This window comes from Homo sapiens, chromosome 10 (genome assembly GCF_000001405.40).
Source record: "Homo sapiens chromosome 10, GRCh38.p14 Primary Assembly".
Taxonomy (NCBI): Eukaryota; Metazoa; Chordata; class Mammalia; order Primates; family Hominidae; genus Homo; species Homo sapiens.
Window position 1 is genome coordinate 116,959,718 of NC_000010.11, and position 22,159 is coordinate 116,981,876.

The 22,159-nt window shown below is 38.6% G+C and overlaps 1 protein-coding gene across 5 annotated transcripts in view; it reads right to left on the reverse strand.

Moving 5' to 3' along the window:
• Window positions 1–22,159, reverse strand: part of SHTN1 (shootin 1) — a 245,110-nt gene that overhangs the window by 78,241 nt on the left and 144,710 nt on the right. For 4 of the 5 annotated variants that reach the window (NM_018330.7, NM_001127211.3, NM_001258300.1 and 1 more), the window contains 3 exons: window positions 19,539–19,591; window positions 8,935–8,995; window positions 419–513 (listed from right to left, as the gene is read on the reverse strand). In NM_018330.7, coding sequence (NP_060800.2) covers window positions 419–513; window positions 8,935–8,995; window positions 19,539–19,591 — 209 coding nt within the window. The remainder of the gene's footprint in view (window positions 1–418; window positions 514–8,934; window positions 8,996–19,538; window positions 19,592–22,159) is intronic. The other variant, NM_001258298.2, reaches the window with a different exon arrangement.

Sequence of the window (22,159 nt, forward strand, 5' to 3'; positions counted from 1 at the left end):
GCACGGCTTCAGGGTGACTTTTTCATCTGATTCAAATATGAGACATTCACTGCTCTTTTATGTCACACCAGGTTAGTTTTAAACTTGGTTAGCATTTTAACCAAATGCATGGACATTTGCAAAGTCCCCTTTAACACTACTCTGGGACCATTTTTTCCACATTTTCACAGGCAAAAAGCACAAATGCTGAAATACTCACATACAAATGCTCCTTTTACAATTTGGAATAACCTTTGCATTAAGGTGAATATTTACATAATCATATTCCAGGATTCTGAGGCCTTTTAACATTTCCCTCATCATCAGAGTAGATAATCGATTAGAGAAGTAGAAAAGCAAAACCAGATAGAAGCCACTGCTTAGAAAAGCAAGTTGAAATTTAAAAGCTCAGGTAAAATTCCTTCATTTGAAGTCTCACCTTTGTTGCCAAAGCTTCAGCACTTTCTCGACAAGTCTTCTCTATTTCAAGATGGTTCTGCATGAAATTAACTTCCTCTATGACCATGTGAGAAACTAGGAATGAGGGGGAAAAAAAATCTCAGCATTCAAAGATTAGTCAGCTATTCCAGGAGCCCACGCATCGTCCCATGATTAAGAATACTTCAATTCTTTGGCTAGCCAGACCTTTAGCTATCACTGAAAAAAGGTTTTTGAGAAGCTGCCCTGATTAAATCTGAGCTAATATTTGAATGTAGAAAGAAACAAGAACACAACAAAATACATTCATTTCACATACATACATTTTATTATGTACATTTTAAGAGCGCTATTTAGATTTTTTTACAAGTCTATTTTCTATGCAACTATATATGTATCCATAGACATATGTGCTAGTTTAAACAAAAGAATATTTCATAAATAAAGAGGAGTGACAGCATGACTTCTTTTTCTCAGCAGTGTATAACACATGGCTCTAATAAGAAAAATTAACAAAAAATAAAAGAAAAATAAATCTTAAATTGATCTTATGACTGGAGTAGTGATGTGGCGACTTGGCTAAGTACTGCAACATTTGTCTCTATTAGCTACAAAGTAGTTACTGCTATTTCATAAGTAACTCTCAGGCAGAAAAGTATAGCAGTAAGATTTATGTACTATATGGTTATAAAGCAGATGCTAATAAATTACTTCCTGAATCATAGGCTATCAGAAGCATTAGAAGAAAAATAAAATTTTACTTGATATGTCACCAATGCTCGAAAAATTGTATTTTTTAGATTTTTTGACAGCTGGTGCATGTAAATTGAGATTTACAGGTATAAAGTGATTTAGAACTTGAGTTATATTTTGAAGATCAAGAAAGAAAAATGCCAATTCCTTCCACCCATATTTCTAGTTAAATGAAAACTCTCAGAATCTCAACCCTAAATGTAGACATTACTTATTGCTATTTGTTTGGCTTAAAAAAAAAAAAATTAAAGGACACCCAAATGTGAAACCCAACAAAGTTAGGCAAAAAGCACTGGGCTCACATAACACAAAGAGAGATTACTTTTGCTTCATTTAAGCTTAATTAACCTGCAATTATGATTAAACTCAGGGGAAAAAATTTCTCTCCAAATTAAATACAAAAATGTATTACTTCCTAAGTCTGTCCAAAGTTCTTATTATGTTAATATTCAAATTCATAAAGCAGCACTAAATGGCCAGAAACATCTCTAACCTTGACATTTTTTCAGGGGTAATAATAATCTGCAGCAAATGCAGGCCAACCAAAAACCACTTAACTAATTAGTAGTTGCAGTCACCGAGAAAAACATGAATCAACACTGTTATTACAAGTGGCACATTTGAGTGGCATCTAATTATGACTTGATGAGCACGATACTTGCATTATCAACATTACTACTGCATCCCATCAGGGCCTAAAAGCTGCTGATGGCATTGACTTCGAGAAACTCCCACTCAATGGTACAGCAGCACCCAACAATCGGCTTGGCAGGGGCCCCCCTCACTAAATGACACGTTAAGCGTAATTACTGGTAGACATTGTAAATAAACAGGATTGGAAGTGAAAATTGTACCAAGTGCATAAGACACAATCTGACACATTGGAAGTGGCAGCCTTAATTGAGAGTTTCTTTGACTGCTCAAGATCATTTCAACTGCATTTCTCAGAGGACAGTGATTATAACTGTGGAGACAGACGGCATAATGGTATCAGCACTGCTGACAGAGCAGTGAATTAAATTGTATCTGCTGTTGTGTGAAAGCCTTGATGAGAGGTACAGATGCCTTAGTGGTCTTATCATTATAACACAATGGTCATGTTGTCATCAACCTTTCTGGCTCCAATTGAAAAGAAATGATTGTGTGTTGAAGCTCCCCCCCCCTTCCACATCACCCCCCTTCTTCTCTTCTATCTCTTGTTCTGAATAGAACCAATTTTCAGAGAGCTATGAAATCACGCAATAGGTCCTAAAATGCAGCTGCTTGGCATACAAACGGGTCCCCATTAAACTGGAATCACACACAATATGTGTTTATGCCAGAAGAACAAATAGAAGCTGAACACAGGCCAAGTTTATTCACACACACAAAGCCCATGTAGCTCTTCATCAATATAATTGCCTTTTATATTGTAGTTTAAATAATAGGCTCTATTATTTCCTTAAAATCCTAATATTCCTGGCATTTTATCACTATGTTTACAAGGTAGGTTCTTCAAAAATGTGAAGGAAAGAGAAAAGAAACCTATACAATTTTTACAACATCAAATATTACTTTGAATTTTTAGCCTTAACTACTTGACATCTTCTGCCACAATCTGGTATTTCCACTATCATAACAAAAACATAAACACTCTGCATTTTTCATAGGAATCTTACTTTTTATTCAATAACATTCTTGCTCTTGAAAGAGTAAGAAAATTCATTCCACAGTAGTGAGGTTTAGGCCTAGCAAATAGGAAACAAAACAAAACAAAAAAAACATTTATTTTCTGAACATTTTGTAAAAAGGTGCCCTGTGATTCAACTTGATAAACATAGCTGGGTAGTCCTTGCTCACATTTTCTCCAGTTCTGATTTGGTACACTCCATCTGGTGGGGTTTTTATTTCTTCTCAAAGAGAGAACAGTAGACATTTTTTTAAATTGCGCATTAATTTTTAGTTTAAGAAATTATTCCAGTGCTAAACTGGTAGCATAACAACCTACTTACCAATGTTCTAGGTTCATATGGGAAGAGTATATTTCAAAGGGTGATTATATCTTTAAAAAGCATGACCCCATTTCCAAAACCAAAAGTCAAGTCACATGACGCAAAACAGAAATACTTTTAATATGTAAATTTATTTGCACATTTTGAATAATAAAAGTTTTTTTTTTTTTTTTTTTTTTTTTTTTTTTTTTTTTTTTTTTTTTTTTTTTTTGAGACGGAGTCTCGCTCTGTGGCCCAGGCTGGAGTGCAGTGGCGCAATCTCGGCTCACTGCAAGCTCCGCCTCCCGGGTTCACGCCATTCTCCTGCCTCAGCCTCCCGAGTAGCTGGGACTACAGGCGCCCGCCATCACGCCCGGCTAATTTTTTTGTATTTTTAGTAGAGACGGGGTTTCACCGTGTTAGCCAGGATGGTCTCGATCTCCTGACCTCGTGATCCGCCCGCCTCGGCCTCCCAAAGTGCTGGGATTACAAGCGTGAGCCACCGCGCCCGGCCATAATAAAAGTTTTTTAAACGTTTAGCTATTCATGTAATAATTTGCCCTATGGTTCTGAATTGGGCTTGTCTCAGGATATCCACAATCCATGGCCACTGTACTTGTCATATTTGCATATTTGGATGACATGAGGTTTAAAAAAGAAAAAAGATGAACTTTTAATAAAGTGTCCGTAATACTGCAGTTATGTTAAAAAGAAAAGACTACTAATCTTTTAGAAATATATACTGAAATATTTCCAGGCAGTAAACAGTAAAATGATATGATGACTGGAATTAGTTCCAAAGCAATCTGAGGTCAGTGACAGTGGGTGTATGGGTGTACAGTTGGAAGACTGGCTGTGAGTTGGCAACTGTTGCAGCCAGAAAACTGGAACATGGGGATTCGTTAAATTATTTTCCCGCCTTTGCATCACTTTGAAATTTTTCATAGTAAAAAAATTTTAATGACCCTGAGAACATAGAAGTATAACATAAAAGTACATCAAGTATTGTTTCTATTAGTCTACTTGAATTAGCGAAGTTTGTCTCTCTTCAACTATGACTTCAAAGCAGTCTTACATAAATGGCAGTGTAGTACACATCACATTGTAGGGTAACTGTTTTTTTTTTTTTTTACTTGTTTTTATCTTCTACTCACTATGAACATTAGAGCAGGGATTTTGTTTTACATGTCTGATTCTCTTGCACCTAGCACAATGCTACATGCAAAGCAGGTGCTCGTGTTAGTGTCTATTTGAAGGACTGAAGGCCTAAGCTCGCCTGTGAACAGCCTTTTATGAGAATGTTCTCTGTAGTATAGAATTGCTTAGGAAACAACTACCATCGCCATTTGTTGAGCCTGACTATGTGTCCAGCCTTGTGCTAAACTCTTTACATGTGTTCCCTCCTTCACAAAGCCTCACAACAATCCTATAACGTAGGGATCATCACAGCAATTTTATATTTGAGAACACGGAGGCCCAGAGAAGTTAAATAACATATTCCAAATCACAGAGTTCTAACTGGTAAAACCCAGTTAAAACCATTTCTAGGTGACTCTACTTTTCTATAGTCCTTTCTAATTCATTATACAAGGTGTCACCACCAATGATGTTGCTTCTAGAGCAAATCTCTCCCAACTCTAACTCCCAGCGATATTTAGATGTAGAATATCTCTAAAGCATATGTGGTGAACATATCACAAATTCTTCTTCAACATCACACTACTTCAAAAGTTTTCCATGTGGTAAGGAAAGAGCCATGAAAGTTGGCATATATGTAGGAAAATCGGTGTGTCCTTAAAACAGATTAATGGATCTAATATTGTGGCTGAAAAGACATGAAAGGGGCTGGGCGCGGTGGCTCATGCCTGTAATCCCAGCACTTTGGGAGGCCAAGGCAGGCAGATCACCTGAGGTCAGGAGTTCGAGACCAGCCCGGCCAACATGGTGAAACCCTGTCTATACTAAAAATACAAAGTTAGCTGCCTGTAATCCCAGCTACTTGGGAGGCTGAGGCAGGAGAATCACTTGAACCCAGGAGGCGGAGGTTGCAGTGGGCCAAGAACACGCCACTGTACTCCAGCCTGGGCAAAAAGAGCAAAACTCCATCTCAAAAATAAATAAATAAATAAATAAAAAGATATGAAAGGTCTTTAGTTACCTTTCACAGGAATCCGGTCTAGGGAATGCAGCTTTGCTATGTAGTGGTGTTCTTTGTGTGTAGGAGGAAGGCTCAGAGAGAGCTGGCGAGGATCAAAAATGACATGGACATATGGATAAAAACATTTATCCTGGGAAAAGTATGCTAAGCTAGGGAGAGTAGAGCCCTATGGCCAAACAAAGCTTTTCCTAACCCTTAGTCAGCTGTTCCGTAGGCCTAGGCCGGGTGTGGTGGCTCACGCCTGTAATCGCAGCACTTTGAGAGGCTGAGGCAAGAGGATCACTTGAGGTCAAGAGTTCAAGACCAATCTGGCCAACATGGTGAAACCCCATCTCTACTAAAAATACAAAAAATAGCCAGGCATGAGGGCACACACCTGTAATCCAAGCTACTTGGGAGAGTGAGGCACAAGAATTGCTTGAATCCAGGAGGCGGAGGTCGCAGCGAGCAGAGATCACGCCACTGCACTGCAGTCTGGGCAACAGAATGAGACTCCGTCTCAAAAAAAGATGTAGGCCTAGTAGGTTAACGTTACAGGGATTTCAGATTTCAACTCAGCACCAAAAGAAACTTCCTCCATCACTATCCAAATGTGGAGTCTGGTGTCAAAGAACTAACTCCCTAAAGGTAAATGATATGAACTCTTAATACTGAAGGGCAATCAGGCATTGGATATTTTAGTTGATGAGATGGTGGTAGTAGCAACTAATATTTATTGAGCACTTACTATATGCCAGGTACAGTGTTAAGCATTTTTTATACAGATTATCTTTTTTCACCCTCAAATGGTATATGAAGCAAGGTCATTTATACCAATTTTATTAACGCAGAAATGGATTCACACAAACTAATGCTCTTCACTGGTGATAAAAATACTGCCTATTCCCTTCCAAATCTGAAATTCTACCCTCTGCTCAAAAGCCATGAATTATTTATCCCAGATACAGTTTTCTGACAAATATTTAAAGTTTTCTTAGTCCTTATTTTTTTTGTTTTTTTGGGGTTTTTTTGAGACGGAGTCTCACCCTGTCGCCAGTCTGGAGTGCAGTGGCAAGATCTTGGCTTACTGCAACCTCCGCCTCCCTGGTTCAAGTGATTCTCCTGCCTCAATAGTCCAAAATAGCTAGGACTACAGGTGCCCGCCACCACGCCTGGCTAATTTTTTGTATTTTTACTAGAGACGGGGTTTCACCGTGTTAGCCAGGATGGTCTTGATCTCCCTGACCTCATGATCCACCCGCCTCGGCCTCCCAAAGTGCTGCGATTACAGGCGTGAGCCACTGCGCCTGGCCAAGTCCTTGTTTTCTCTCCTTTTGAGACTGAGTAAAGAGTTGGCACTCTGTTGTTCTGTGAGTTACCAAGAGAGTAAGAAAAAAAGAATTAGTACTCTGTTTTCCTAACATCCAAACCTTAAATTAATTAAAGACACTTAGTAAAGGTAAAAACTAAATGCATACAACCATACAGATTGTTGTACTAATCTTCCAATCAATCCTCTCAGGCTTTGAGTTGCTCATAAGGAAAAATGTAAATTTTTAAAACTATCAAAGTTATTCAGAGGAAGAGACAAAGAAAGGGAAAAGAGAAATGGCAGATGAAAGCAGAATTTAAATGTTACTTCGAAGGTTGATTTTGGGGGAATGTTGCTTCTGGTTTTGCATAATGCAGGAGGCAAAGTCCCTACTGCCTACCTAGACCAAAATATTTTATAAACCCTAGACCAAATATTTTATAAGCCCAACCATAAGGAACTTGAACTATTCCCACTGCACACCAATCCATTATCAATAATTCAAGCATATTAACCGGTAACAATGCCAATGGTATAACTCTAAGAATAAGTACATTCCATAAGTAAAAAAGTACCATATAATTGGAATTCATACATTTGCAAATAAGAGGTATTTCTAGCATAGCACATTGGCCTCCAAAGACAGGTAATATCAATAAGATTCCCCTTGGATGTTCTCTGTTACAACCAGACACTGAAGTAAACTTGCTGTTGAAATTTAACCATAATGCTGCATTTGTATGGCTGTTTTAACTAGAATAAAATGTTCTGTTGTGTAGTTACCAAATCAACTCTTTATAAATAATCAAATACCCTGACTGACAGAACATCTGCAGAATGATGGAGAAAGGCCTTGTTTCCAAGGGAGGGGGTCACTTTCCCTGCTACGGTCTGACCCTTTGCCTATGACATATTTCCATCTGGTCCCTCTGGGTCTGATCAGCTATGCTGTCTTAGGGGATAAATAACAGATTTACATTACATAAAAAAAATAGCAAAAATTTGGAAAGTACAGCTTTTGTGGGAATGTAACTTTCTTCAGTGAGAGGGCTATTTCAAACATTCACACTCTTAAAAATGTTTAAGTTCTATGAAGCTATCATTCCTTTTCTCTATTTTTGAACCACTTTATTAAGGTATAAGTGACATGTAAAAAGCCATACATATTTCATGCATACAACATGATGAGTTTGGGGGATTATTATACACCTGTGAAACCATCACCACCATCAAGGCTGCAGACATATCCATTGCCTCCCAAAGTTTCCTTCTGCCCTCTTTATTTACTTATTTTCTTTTGTAGTAACATCACGTAACGTAAGATCTACCCTCTTAGTAAATTTTAAGTATACAACACAGTATTATTAGCTATAGGCACAATGCTCTATAGTGGATCTCCAGTGTAATTCCTTTTATATGAATTAACCTCAGGAACTATTTAGATTACTGTAAAGATGTAAGTGTCAGAATACCTGCCATCGCATTATTTATAATAGCTAAAAACCAGGAATAATCTGTCAATGAAAGAATAATTAAATACATTATGGTACTATCCTATAATGGAATACTATGGACAACATTAAAACTGATGTACAGGCTGGGCGCAGTGGCTCCCGCCTGTAATTCCAGCACTTCGGGAGGCCAAGGCAGGAGGATCACGAGGTCAAGAGACCAGGACCATCCTGGCCAATATGGTGAAACCCCGTCTCTACTAAAAATACAAAAATTAGCTGGGCATGGTGGTGTGCGCTTGTAGTTCCAGCTACTTGGGAGGCTAAGGCAAGAGAATTGCTTAAACCCAGGAGGTGGAGGTTGCAGTAAGCCAAGATCTTGCTACTGCACTCCAGCCTAGTGACAGAGCGAGACTCCATCTCAAAAAAACAAACAAACACAAAAACAAAAAACTGATGTACATCTGTACTGACATGCAAATATGACCAGGAGTACTGTTTACTGAAAAAAGCAGACTGCAAAACTGAATTTAAAACACGATTACATTTTTTACTACACAAATAAAAGACCAACAAGGACAGATTATAAAGTACTAGCACTGGCCTTTTTCAAGGAGCCAACAAGGCATTTTTGTTCTCCTTTAACTTTTCTGTATAGTTAAACTGTTTTATAACAAGTATAGGTTTTTCTAACACCCTTGATGAAACAATGATGTTTATTCCAGTTCTTTAAAGCTTAAAGTGATGCCTGGGCATGTTTGGACAAATAGAAAGAAGTCTTGCTTTCTTGATTGTATGACCAGGACATTAGCAACTCAATAGGGTATAAGTCTACTCACATAATCCCCAATAGGCTATATGTGTTATAATAATTCCACTGAAATGCTTACGTACTTTTCTGAAATTCTTCCAGTTTTTTAACGGCTTCATCTCGTTCTTGCCTAATTTTGTCACACTGAAATGAGAGAAGTAAACAAATGTTAAACTTCAATCATAAATTTTAAGTTTGAAAAGGCAAGCAAGAGCAAACTTATAAACAACAGCAATTTTCTGAAAACAAAACAAAATTTAAAACCTTTGAAAAGCATCAATGGTCATATATGAACTTGCACTGCTCAGCCAGCATGGTGTTTGTGCCATTTGTATCTGGCCAATTTTCTCAGACCTTCTAAGATATAAGTCACCTTCCTGCTCATTATCTCCTCAGTAATAGCCCGATTTAACATCCTTGAGTTAAAATATATTCATTCTTTAAGAGAATGTTTGTACCTATTTTTATGTTTGGCTAATGCTGTACATAGTCACTCATGTACATGTCTGATTCCAAACAGCTTCAACTACCCAGAACATTGGTGCATACCTGGGAGGTAATGGAAAGACTACCGCAGGCCAGGCGTGGTGGCTCACGCCTGTAATCCCAGCACTCTGGGAGGCCGAGGCAGGCAGATCACGAGGTCAGGAGTACAAGACCAGCCTTGCCAGAGACCAGCTTGGCCAACATGGTGAAACACCATCTCTACTAAAAATACAAAAATTAGCCAGGCGTGGTGGTGCGCACCTGTAATCCCAGCTACTCGGGAGGCTGAGGCAGGAGAATTGCTTCAACCTGGGAGGTGGAAGTTGCACTGAGCCGAGATCACACCATTGCACTCCAGCATGGGCGACAGAGTGAGACTCTGACTCAAAAAAAAGACTACTGCATGAGGGCAAAAGGCAGCCACATGGCACACACTCTCACCCAAGAAAAAGTGATCCATGTGTCCTCAGAATTCGGAATAGAGGAAGGTACCAAATTAAAAGAAGAGAAGATAAAATATTCCATACTAAGCACATATCATTTATATAAACCGATTTTTAATTTAAAAAGGTGGGAGAACTCACTGAAAAGACTTTGGGAGGCAAGACCATAAAAGGCAAAAATAACTATTAGAGCATAAGGACCTTTTAGGGTATCTGGTATAGAAACAAGTATCTCCTGTATTGATAGGCCCTGGAGGCATTAATGAATTTTTTTAAAAAACCTAATGTTTATTATTATAAGGACTGAATTCAGTATATCTTGAATTTCATAAAACAGGGATATATAACAAGATATTCACCACAAGTAGCTAAAACATTAAAAAGTAATTTCTAGCTATTAGAGTAGTAATTTTAAATGTATTATCTTGGGAATACCTTATTCCCTAAGAGTGCCATATGAATAAAGCACAATTTTAAATTATATTTGATTGCTAACCTGCCATATAAATATATAGGAATTTCATCCCTTTGGATGTTCTTAATTCCGATTTTCAATAGCTAAAAAATTATGATGTCACATAATGTGAAAAATCCAGATAAAAACAATGAGATAGTCTCACCTATCGGACTGGCAAAAACTGAAAAAATCTGATACCAGGAGACAGGAAATCTCATAGACCACTGATGGATGTGTCAATTGGTATAATTACTTTGGAAAAAAACTTCTATCAAAATTGAATACATACTTCCCTATGACTCAGCAATTCTACTTCTAGGTGTATATACCCAGAGAATCTCTAGTAATGTATAACATATACAAAAATGTTCCACATTTTTAATAATAGTACATCATGGTATGTTCATACACTATACTACAGAGCAGTGAAAATGAATAAAGCCGTATGTATCAACATAAACGTTAAAAACCATCATGTTGGCCGGGCACGGTGGCTCAAGTCGGTAATCCCAGCACTTTGGGAAGCCAAGGCAGGCGGATCATGAGGTCAAGAGATCGAGACCATCCTTGCCAACATGGTGAAACCCCATCTCTACTAAAAATACAAAAGTTAGCTGGGCGTGGTGGCACACGCCTGTACTCCCAGCTACTTGGGAGGCTGAGGCAGGAGAACTGCTTGAACCCATGAGGCGGAGGTTGCAGTGAGCCAAGATCATGCCACTGCACTCCAGCCTGGTGACAGAGAGAGACTTACTCTCAAAAAAAAAAAAAAACAAACCATCATGTTAAATGAGTTGCAGAAGATATATCAGATATATCAAATAATATCTTACATACACAAATGCATCTCATATATTTATATATGCTTTATGATACATCTAATATATATAAATATGAAATAAAAAGAAATATACAACATTTATAACAGTAGTTGTCTCTTAGGAAACAGGGAGGGGAATGGGACTAGAAATGGTGAGAACTTTCAGTTGTATTTGCTGCATTCCTTATTTTTGAATTTCAAGAGAAATAACAGTTCTGTGCAATGGGTATTTGTTATACTATTCTCTGCCCTTTCCTGTCCTTTCAAAATATTTTAAAAATAAGTAAGAAGCTTGCAGTTCAGTTTTCCCCTTTAGTCACTAAAGAACCACTGAAATGTCATACTGTACCTGCTCATATGGGTAAATGTATTCTGGCAAGAGAACATGAAACAAGTACACAGTGTTAAATTAGCAAATCTGGTTACTAAATCCTGACTCAGGATCCCCCACCCAGTCAAAATGAGTTAGGCTGGACCTAACTTATTTACCAAAGGAGAAGGCATTTCTTTGATTAAGGTTTCCCGTGGCAATCCCATCCTCTGTAAAAAATAATAATAATTCTGTCTAATATAGTCTGTAGTTTCAGCTTAAACAAACAACATTTATGATTTTTTGGTGTTTAAAATTCGAAATAGTAGAGTTCTAAATTCGCATATAGGCTTTTCTTAGCTCCTTCCTCAACCCAAACGGACTACATTAGACATCATAACCCTTAATGATAGGAGACTTCTGGCTAGCGGTTTCAGGAATGTTCCTCTCATTTTCTAGAATGGGCTTCTGTTTGGTCTGGATTTCCCCACCACCCCTACCAGTCTGTCTACCTTCCTCCAATAATGCACAGTGTAGCATAAGGCACAAAAAGAAACCTAGTTTCCGACTAGGCTCAAACTCCTGAGTCATGATTGCCAAGTGAAATATATCTGGTGCTTTACTTTCAAATTAATTTAATGTTTCTTAATCTGGCATTTCTGAAAAATGTGAGATGTCTTGTAAAAAACTGTCTTCATTTAAGAGCTGGCACTTGGGAGTGTTGCTCCTGACTTAATGTCACTTGGTTCCCTCTATGTAGCTCTCGAAGCTCTACCTAAAGGAATTAGAGGTTTATTCAATTCTCGCTTCAGTCAAATAGCCAGAGTTTTTAGTGAGACTTTGGATGGCAAAAGCATTAAACAGGAATGGTGCTCTATCTAGTCAGATCTGAAAAAGGCCACCAGTTGACATCATACACAATCACTAATGTGATGCATGACAATTTTAGGTAGGCTTGTACTAGTTGCCCAGAAGAAAAACGTCAGGTCCACGCTCTCTGCTATTAAGGCCCAGGTAGACAAGCTCAGATTAGTAACAGGTCTCAACATCAGTTTTATTCCAACATGCAGGTAGCCCATTTCTATAGTCCAGCTATATGGGTTCACACTAATCCTATGGTTATCATCAGCAGATTCACAAGCTGTCTCCCATCCCCAGCTGTGTTCTATCAGGGGTCTTCATGTTGCTTTGCTTTCTATTTTCTGCAACCACATTATGCTAGAACTGGCAGCCACAGAATTTACCATCTGTTATGCTGAAAGGGGTGTGAGTTGGGGGTGGGGAGAGTCTACACATGCTGCAAATGCAGCTTACTTATTCTGAACCAGAACTGAGCAAAATATGGAGGATGTACGCATTTACTAAAAGCAGAAATCCAAACACCCACTTATTTCATCTTTTTAGGTGAACCCAGAAAAGAATCTTGCAAACTTTCTCTCATTCTATCAACAGAGGGAAGTCAGCCAGGATAACGGGCCTTTTTGGAAGAATGTTTCATCTTTCCACCACACAGAAGCCCCTCACCCATCCCACCCCTTCCTCTACCCTGCTCACGCAGCTGCACCATTTGTAAAAACTGCTTCTTTTTGTGTGAGAATTGCTCATGAAGACTTTGCAATAGCAACAGATGTTCTTGGGCCTACATCACTTAATTATGATGCCCAACGATTCTCTGTAGCTCAAGGCTGAGGTAGAACCCAGTGGCACAACTGCTGGCTCATGTAAGCAAGCTGGATAACATTACATCGACTCTAGAGTCTCTATTTGGCTCTTTATGAAGGGATGAATTGACCGGAGGTTGGCCTTGCTGGTTTTGAAAGCCCTTAATATTAGAAGCCCTGGCTATTTTCCATATCTCTTCCTTGAGCCTCATCCAGGCAGATACCTGGCTTCTGAAACTAAACCAGGATTTCTGAGCATTGGCAGACTGATTTGTAGAGAAACAGCCTTTCCAGTGTGAATTAGTATCTTCCTTGCACCACCCACTCCCTAAAATGGGCAGCTCAGTTATTCATCCCTCTCTCACGTATTCATCCAACTACCATCAACATCAAAATGTCTGCTTCAAAGGGCTCAGCAGAAGTACAGATAACTGATACAGATACCAAGAAATCTTTATATTCTGTTGTACGTATACGTTATGCAAGAAAAACCTCAACATTCTAAATTGTATCTAACTTCCACTAATATAAATATTCATGCTTGTCTTCCTGGTGCACAAATGCATCAGAGGGTTGCTAGCCTATAGATAGGGCAGTTCAGGGCCCAAGAAGTGCATATATGCACTGCATATGCACAATACCAAGACAGGGAACAATCTATACATACGCAAGTACATTACAGTTGACTGAATCAGACTTTTAAGCAAGTATCTACTATAATCATTGAATGTCATTATTTCCTCCTCTGAGAACTGAACAAATTTATACAGGGCCCACACAGCCCAGCCACTATGTTAAACACTGGGCACAATACATGAACACAATAGACAATGTGTTCTCACAAAAACTTATGATCTACCACAAAAGATCAACAAATGAAGTAAGCAATTCATAAGGACACCCGATATAATGTGAGAAATACTGCCAAACCAGAACTGAACAAAACATGTACCCATTTCCTAAGGAACGTACAGCAGAGCCTACAACGCCACTAAGTCTGAAGAAGTTTAATGCTACACCATTTTTCTTGAAGTTCATTAATGTCCAGTTACAACAGTTAAAGATTTAAACATGCCCAGCATCAGAATTGTGTGTACTTTACCTGTTTACCTGTTTAAGAATCCTTGGCATACAATGAAAGGACCATCAATTCATTTTTAATAGTAGTCGACAATTCTACTGCTCCACCTATGTAAGTCTGGCCAGAACTGTGCTTTCTGGATTTCTACACTCTTATCCCTAAAGAATACAACACATTAAATCATTCCCACTAGGATGGAATTCCTTTCACTCTCTTTCTCTTTTGGTGTTCTTCTTTCTTCCAATTCAAAGTTCTTTCCCTCCAATTTTCACAGGCAAAAAAGAAGTGGTAGCTGCCCTCAAAGCTGTCTTGCAGCATTCTCCAAATTCTAGGTATTGTGTGTTAGATGGAAACACATGTCATCAGAACAGAGATCCTTGCTCTTTGTTTCTAGATAGATTGCTGTTAATAAGAGACTCATTTTCACTTTCAAACTGCTAAGTAATTACTTTTTCTCTGGCACAACCACTTGCCACTCTGTCTCAAAGAAACTGCATGTATGTGGATGTATTATGCATGAACAGTTAGCATAATGGATGCATATCTTGCTCTTTAAAGTGGCTTCTTTATTGATTTTTTTAAAAAATAAAATACTTTGAGACCTTCATCTCTGAATATTACACAAGAGGAAGAAATTTTAACAATAGACAACTGAGCCAAGATGCAAACAGTATCATATATCCTGCTTCTTGAAACATAAGTCTTGGAAAGTGTCTGTCTCATTCTCTTTTCATTCATTGTTCCTGGCAAGCTGACAGAACCGCCTGATGCACTGTTACAGTAGCTCACCCAAACGACTTCTAATCAGCCACTTAAACATTTATGCATTTCAAAACTTGATCTCAGAACATAATACTAAACATAAATACTTACTATTTAAAGGCAGACATTCTTCTATTATACAGATTTCCTTCTTTTTACGCACACTCCACACACACCCCCACCCCCACCACTCTGAGAAACATGAAAGCTATTCCATTCAAAGCTCAATGACGCTTTCCCCCCATATAGGAAAAAAACCCAAACGATTATGATAAAGATCCTGAGTGAGTCATAAGAGAATGCCCTTCAATTGTGGAGGCATGACTAACATTTGAATATGGTGATTGCTACACAAGCAAAGTAAACCATTTTATTTGGTTGATTGCAAAATATATAGTCATCTATTTTTCTATACCCCAAAAATATAAATTTGAAGAGTTGTTCACCTCAGTATGATAGGCTCTTACTTTTTCACATACTGCTAAGTCCACTTAGAAAATGGGCAAAAAATAATGGAAACTAGCAAGTAGCACCATTTCCATAATCCCCATTTATCTTGATGTTAAAAAAACTCGCTGTTTTTACATTTGAAGGCAACCCACATCATTTGCTTATACTCTAATATTTTGACAATAAATTTTGCTTGATAAATGTGATACATACATACATAAATATGCAGATGTCTTATTACCAAAAAAGCAATAAATTCTGCTTGTGAGAGAGTTAGAGAAGACTTTGAAAAACCTAAGTGACATTTATTAAGGCAAGCATTAAAGGCTAGTAAAAAGTTATCACATGGAAAAGAGTAGGAACCTTGTCTTTTTGTTCTTTGTCCATTGCCCAGCCATGCTCTAGGCACTCACAGAGCAGCATAATTGATCGTGGTTATTTGTCAACTTATTTGAGGTCCTCATTAGAGTGGTTTTACTCAAGAGTAGGACCTTCATATATTTTTCTTTATACCCCAGTACTCAGAAGGCATTCAATAAAAAGGTTTCCCTTCAAAAGAGCTTTCCTTATAAACTCAAACAAATTGACTCCATTCTCAAAGTCACTGATAAAAAAAAAAAACATAAAAGAGTCAGCAGTTTTCCTAAAATGGAAGAACTGCAAAAAAAAGAGAAAATATCCATCAAAACATGGGTCCACTCCCCCTGCCCCAAATTTCCTGCTTTTATCCTTGGGATGCATTATGCCAGAATCTATATGTATATATACAAGTACACACATACATATACAAACACATGTGAATGTTTTGACATAAGATTGATTTGATACTTATATTCAACTTTCAGTTTTTCAACACAAACCAATAGCTGGTAAAGATAAATGACCCAGAAAAGGATCGGGTCTGATAATTTGCTGTGGAAAACTCATGCACTAACAATACAGAATTAGAATAAAGTTAGGACCTTTGCAGAAGAAGAGTCAATAAGCTCCCACTGTTCACCTGCTTCTAAAAGAACATCGTGCTCAGAAGACCCATGTTTGAATCTAGACTCTGCCATGGTCTGTGTAACACTGGGAACCTCACTCAAGCCCTGGGGTACTGTTCTTTCCTCTGTGAAATGGAGCAGACACACTGCTGTGTAGAGCATGAGACAGGGAGATGAGAGAGCATGGATGTCCTATAGCAGCTTCTTACACCATGCAGCCTCTGAACAACTGGTTTCCCTGAAGAGCACCATGTCAGACCACTTGTCTCAACGCAAGAGAGTCCAAACAGGGCAGGAAAAGATCCTGCCCAAAGGAATCACATCCACCGCCGCCTCCCATTGATAAGGTTCATGACCTGGGGACAAAGATAGTAGACATGTGGAAGGAAAAAATACCTTGCAATTTATTTTTTTGCTTCCTCTGTTCACTCTAAATTTCCCTACATCAAATTAACCATGGCAAAAGGAGTCTTACTTTAATTTGCTGTCCCTGAACGATTTAACTGCACTCTGGTTTGGGGCCATGAATGAAAGGATGGCCATACGTATTTGCTGATGTCAACTGGACAAAGCTCACCCAGCCAGGCACAAGAGAGTGCTTTCCCAGAGAAAATGCTGTTCTCCATTTACCACCTCCGGAACTAAAGCTGCTTTTACTCATTCTACACTCTATAAAAGGCTTTTATTATATGCTTCCCTCCTTTGTAATACAGCCCCCCTTTTTTGAGGAAAAACCTGCAGTAATAAGCAAGCTAGTCTTTTAACAGAAGATAAACAGAGTGCAGTGAACTTAAAACCACTCTACTTTGTTTTACCCAACCACACAGCATTCCATATTGCTTTCATTTCTTTTCTTCCCGTTTCTGTTAATAGTTATTTTTAAAGAATTACAACAGAAGCAGGTCAATAATGCCTACAGATGTCATGAAAGTATTAGGCCATACTCTATGCAGTGAAACATGTAAACAGTTAATGGGCTGAGGTAATTTATAATCCTCCTTTTACCAAATGCATTTTACCTATAATTCCACTTGCATAACGGATGATTCACTTAAAACCTCACTGAGAAAGTGTCTGTCAGTTAAACAACTATCATCTCCACCAATAACAGATGTTTACAGAGCATCTACTATGTATTTTTAGGGCACTGCTAGGTCTACATGTAAGCAAGGATTAAACAAGAAGAATAAATAAAAAATTTTATCTACTTCCTCTTACATTATTCATTTTCTTCTATCATCCTTCTTTCTCTATTATATGAAGACAACTGTTTGCTTTCCCTTCTCTTACCTTCTAGGTTAAGTCAAAGAGTGCTCCTGAATTAACCCCTCCAACTTGCTTTGTTCTTCTCGTGGGTCAGGAGCAGCTACGAAAGAGACTCAGGGACTGATATCATCTCAGTCTCTTTGTTCTCCTACAGCTGGAAGATAGCTGAGTATCTTAGAGCAAGATGCTCAAGTTATCCAGCCTAAGCATTACCCACTAGGTTTACTTTGGAATTTTGGGGCATCAGGGGCCCAGGATCTAAGAAAAACCTCCTTACCTGTTTATGTCCTCAGGACATTTGTGATTCTGCATGGTTACAGGGTTGGAATTAGAAATCATGCCAAACTACTATTTTCAGTGACTTTCTTACTCTGTGTGTGTGTGTGTGTGTGTGTGTGTTTTGAGACAAGATCTCACTCTGTTGCCCAGGCTGGAATGCAGTGGTGCAATCATGGCTCACTGCAGCTTCAACCTTTAGGGCTCCAGGAATCCTCCTGCCTCAACCTCGCAAGTAGCTGGGACTACAGGTGCATGCCACCATGACCGATTAATTTTTTAACTTTTTTGTAAAGATGGGGGTCTTACTATGTTGTCCAGGCTGGTCTTGAATTCCTGGTCTCAAGTGATTCTCCCACCTCAGCCTCCCAAAGTGCTTCTTACCATATTATAGATGCAAGCACCAGCCCCTTCTAATATGGATGTTTTTATCACCTCCACCTACCATTCCCTGAATCACCTGATGAAGGCAAGAGAAGAAACTTAGGATTTCACAGAACACCAAGGATTTATTTACAAATGAGCAAAGGAGCCTTAAAACTAGGTGAAAAATAATGATCTAAAAATCCCTTATAATCGGCTTCAAACTGGAGTACTTACCATTAATATCACCATCCATACTACAGCTATATAGGTGGCAAATTAATAGTGAAAAAGTTAAATATAATTCTAAAGAGCCCAATAAGTGATCCCAAATATCCCATACGTTTTACAAATATTTAGCTTGCTGCCAGTTTTTATTACAGCTCTTACTCCGAAATTTTAAAAATGAGGTTTCACAATTTAGAGCAGTGATGGCTATCTTCTTCTTTAATATCTACAAAGGACCTGTTTTATTAATTTTTGGTCAGGGATATTATGTTCTGAAATATTTAGCCTACCCAACAAAGTAATTTTTTAAAGTAAATTTTTTTTATATCTAAAACCGAAAATAGGCAGTCTGCTTTCTTTCCTTTGCTATTCAGTCCCTCTACGTTTCTGACCTTAGTCTGTTCTTCCATTTGTCTCCTCCCTAAATTTACAAGAAATATATATATATATATTATTAGCTATATATATTAGCAAGCATTCACAAATCTTAGATATTTTCAGTGATAAGGATATAGTTTGTAAGGTAAGTAGAATTCAATTATTTAACAGTTAAAACAAAACTGACAGAACCCCTGAAAATATTCACCAGACTTCCCCACCTTCACAGTGGATGCTTCTCAACTTCCAGTGTATTATTCATATAAATAGAAGAAGCAGACATATAAAGATTTATGGAGGTATTGGGGCGAAACACCAATGACTAATTCCAAAGAGTTTTCTCTAGGACCCAATGTGTCTAGGTCCCAACAGTACATGTATGAAGTGTTCAATTCCACTGACAGAATCCCAAATCTGACTGTTAGGGAAAAAGTACGATTCCTGGGGACTTGAGTTGCTTGGCCTGGTGCCTTGCTGCACATTTAGCCATGTAGTTAATCTCCCAGAGCTGCACCCACTGTGGCATGCCTGCTATTCTTTACCATCTGGAGCCTGGAGTTGGTATTAGCTTGAACCACACATGCAAGAGAAAAGGGAAGAAAAGAAAAGAAAAAAACAACCCTCATTCACATTTAACTGAAATTGGTGACTGAACAATGCACTATGCCGCCTAGGCTTTTACACATGTAAGAAAGGGGAAAAAAAAGGTAAAGTACAAACCTTCTCCTTTGTTTTCTGGTTCTCTGCTCTAAGGTCTTCATATTCGCCTATTGCTAAAAGAAAAAAGGAAAGCAACATTACAACACTGTCAAAAGTTTACTGCAGGGCAACCTGGGGAATCCAACTAACCCCCATAGTCTTCTTACTAGGTTGAGGTAGGGTGGAGAAGAGGCTGCAGAAAAGGGGCTTCTGCTTTTTATTTTTTTTATTTTGTAGAGACAGGGTCTCACTCTGTTGCCCAGGCTGGTCTCAAAACTCCTGGGTTCAAACGATCCTCCTGCCTTGGCCTCGCAAAGTGCGATTACAGGCACGAGTCACCAAACCCGGCTGGGCTCCTGCTTTTAACAGTAAGGATGAAAAAGGAGACATGAGCCCACCAAACTAAATTTCAGTTCTCCCTAGGTCATTAGGAACACCCATGATCCAGGAGAGGTGACAGATGACAAGCAATTTCTCCTTTCTGATGCTCAGCACTTGGTCCTGTGAAAGGATTCAGGCAGGTGTTCCCTGAAGTTCCTCCCAGCACTATTAGTCTGTGGTATTGTAATCAGAGATTTATTTAGAAAATCAGCCTGTAGAAAGTAGAGTAGGTTTGCACACTCGACTCAATGTCACACGTCTGCTTTATTCACAAAGCAAAAAATTTATGAAGGATTCAGCTAAGAACAACTATTTTCAGACAAGATTGTCAGTCACGACCAGAAATTCAGACTCATTTCACTAAATGGGGAAGATATGTTAAACTGTTTGAAAATATTATCCACTAGGTAGAGGGGAAAGTTGTGTACTTAAAATCGTTTATTGCCCCTGCCCAGAAAAAAAAAACGAAACCTAAATCCCCACATTCATCTTTAATCAAAGCACCATTTTTAGGTATCCCTACAGTTGAGAATATAAAGTTTTGAACACATGAAGTGAGAAGAAAAAGAATGGCCTAAGATCAATGACAGAGCAGAACATCTGAAGTAAGTCTAAAACTGCTGCTCACCCCAGGGCTGGCTTCTTGACTGGCACCAGAACGTCAGTGAATCATCAGGTTGATTTTCTTTTTTTAAGAGACAGGGTCTTGTTCTGTCACTTAGGCTGGAGTGCAGTGGCACCATCATAGCTCACTGCAGTTTTGAACTCCAGGGCTCAAAATGATCCTCTCACCTCAGCCTCCTGAGCAGCTGGAACTACAGGCACATACTACCATGCCCAGCTAAATTTTTAAATTTCTTGTAGAGATGGGGTCTTGCTATTTTGCCCAGCCTGGTCACAATTTGAACTTTTGCTTTATGGATTTATCTACCAAAAAAAAAAAACCCTCAGTTTTTCTTTTAAGAAAGAAAAAAAAACAAAAAAACAGAGCTTCCTATTTCTATGAATAATCTAGAAACAGAAATAAAAAATCCGAAACCAGTGGTTCCAAGAACATCCCAGATAATCTGGTCCTTAATTCCAGAAATGTATGATTCTAACCACTAGGGCAAAGAACACCCCAGAAACAGACAATTAACATGGTAAAGCACATGCCTTGTTTTCTCCTATGGTGATCGAAAGGGTTCAGAATGGCTACTGTGATGGTGGCACCAAAGTCCTAAAATCCAAATTTAAATTGGCGAATATTTATGAGATTATATCACCAATGTCCAGAAGTTTTATTAGTATACCAGGACCACTTAAACAAGAATAGACAATTTTATTGAAGCCACATCCCAAAATAATCCTTGAAAACTAGTCCATAAAATAGGTGAATGTGTACATGTAAAGATATAGTTCTGAAAATAATTACATTTACAGGCTGGGCGTGGTGGCTCACGCCTGTAATCTCAACACTTTGGTAGGCCGAGGTGGGCAGATCACTTGAGGTCAGGAGTTCAAGACCAGCCTGGCCAACACAGCAAAACCCCGCCTCTACAAAAAGTACAAAAATTAGCTGGGCATGGTAGCACTTGCCTGTAGTCCCAGATACTTGGGAGGCTGAGGCAGGAGAATCGCGTGAACCCGGGAAGCAGAGGTTGCAGTGAGCCAAGAACGCACCACAGCACACTCCAACCTGGGCGACAGAGCGAGACTCTGTCTCAAAAACAAAACGAAACAAAACATTTTCAACAGAAAAAGATTTGACTGACCTAGAATGAAGCTCTCTGCACACCAGCTCTTCATCAGCCCCACCACACGCACCGCAAGAACTAAGTAAAACTAAATTGTCTTTGGAGCTGAAAAACCAATAAAATGTGTCCCCACCTTTTTAACTGAAAGAAACAAGAACTAAGTAAGATCTTCTAAAAATATTCACTTACACCACCACTGGGTAGTCTATGGTCATGATCCCACATCTTACTACTGTATCTTAAATTGTTTCAAAAAACAGATATATAAGTATTTTATTAAAAGACTTTGATTTTAGGTTACTTGACATTTAAAAGTATCTATAGATGAAGTTGAAAAAACCAAAATTTATTTAATGTTCTATAATTGGTGACCTACTTTACAGACATACAGAATGAACAATAAAGGCTTATAAAACCATGATCTCAGCCGGGTGCGGTGGCTCACATTTGTAATGCCAGCACTTTGAGAGGGTGAGGCGGGCAGATCATCAGGTCAGGAGTTTGAGACCAGCCTGACCAACATGG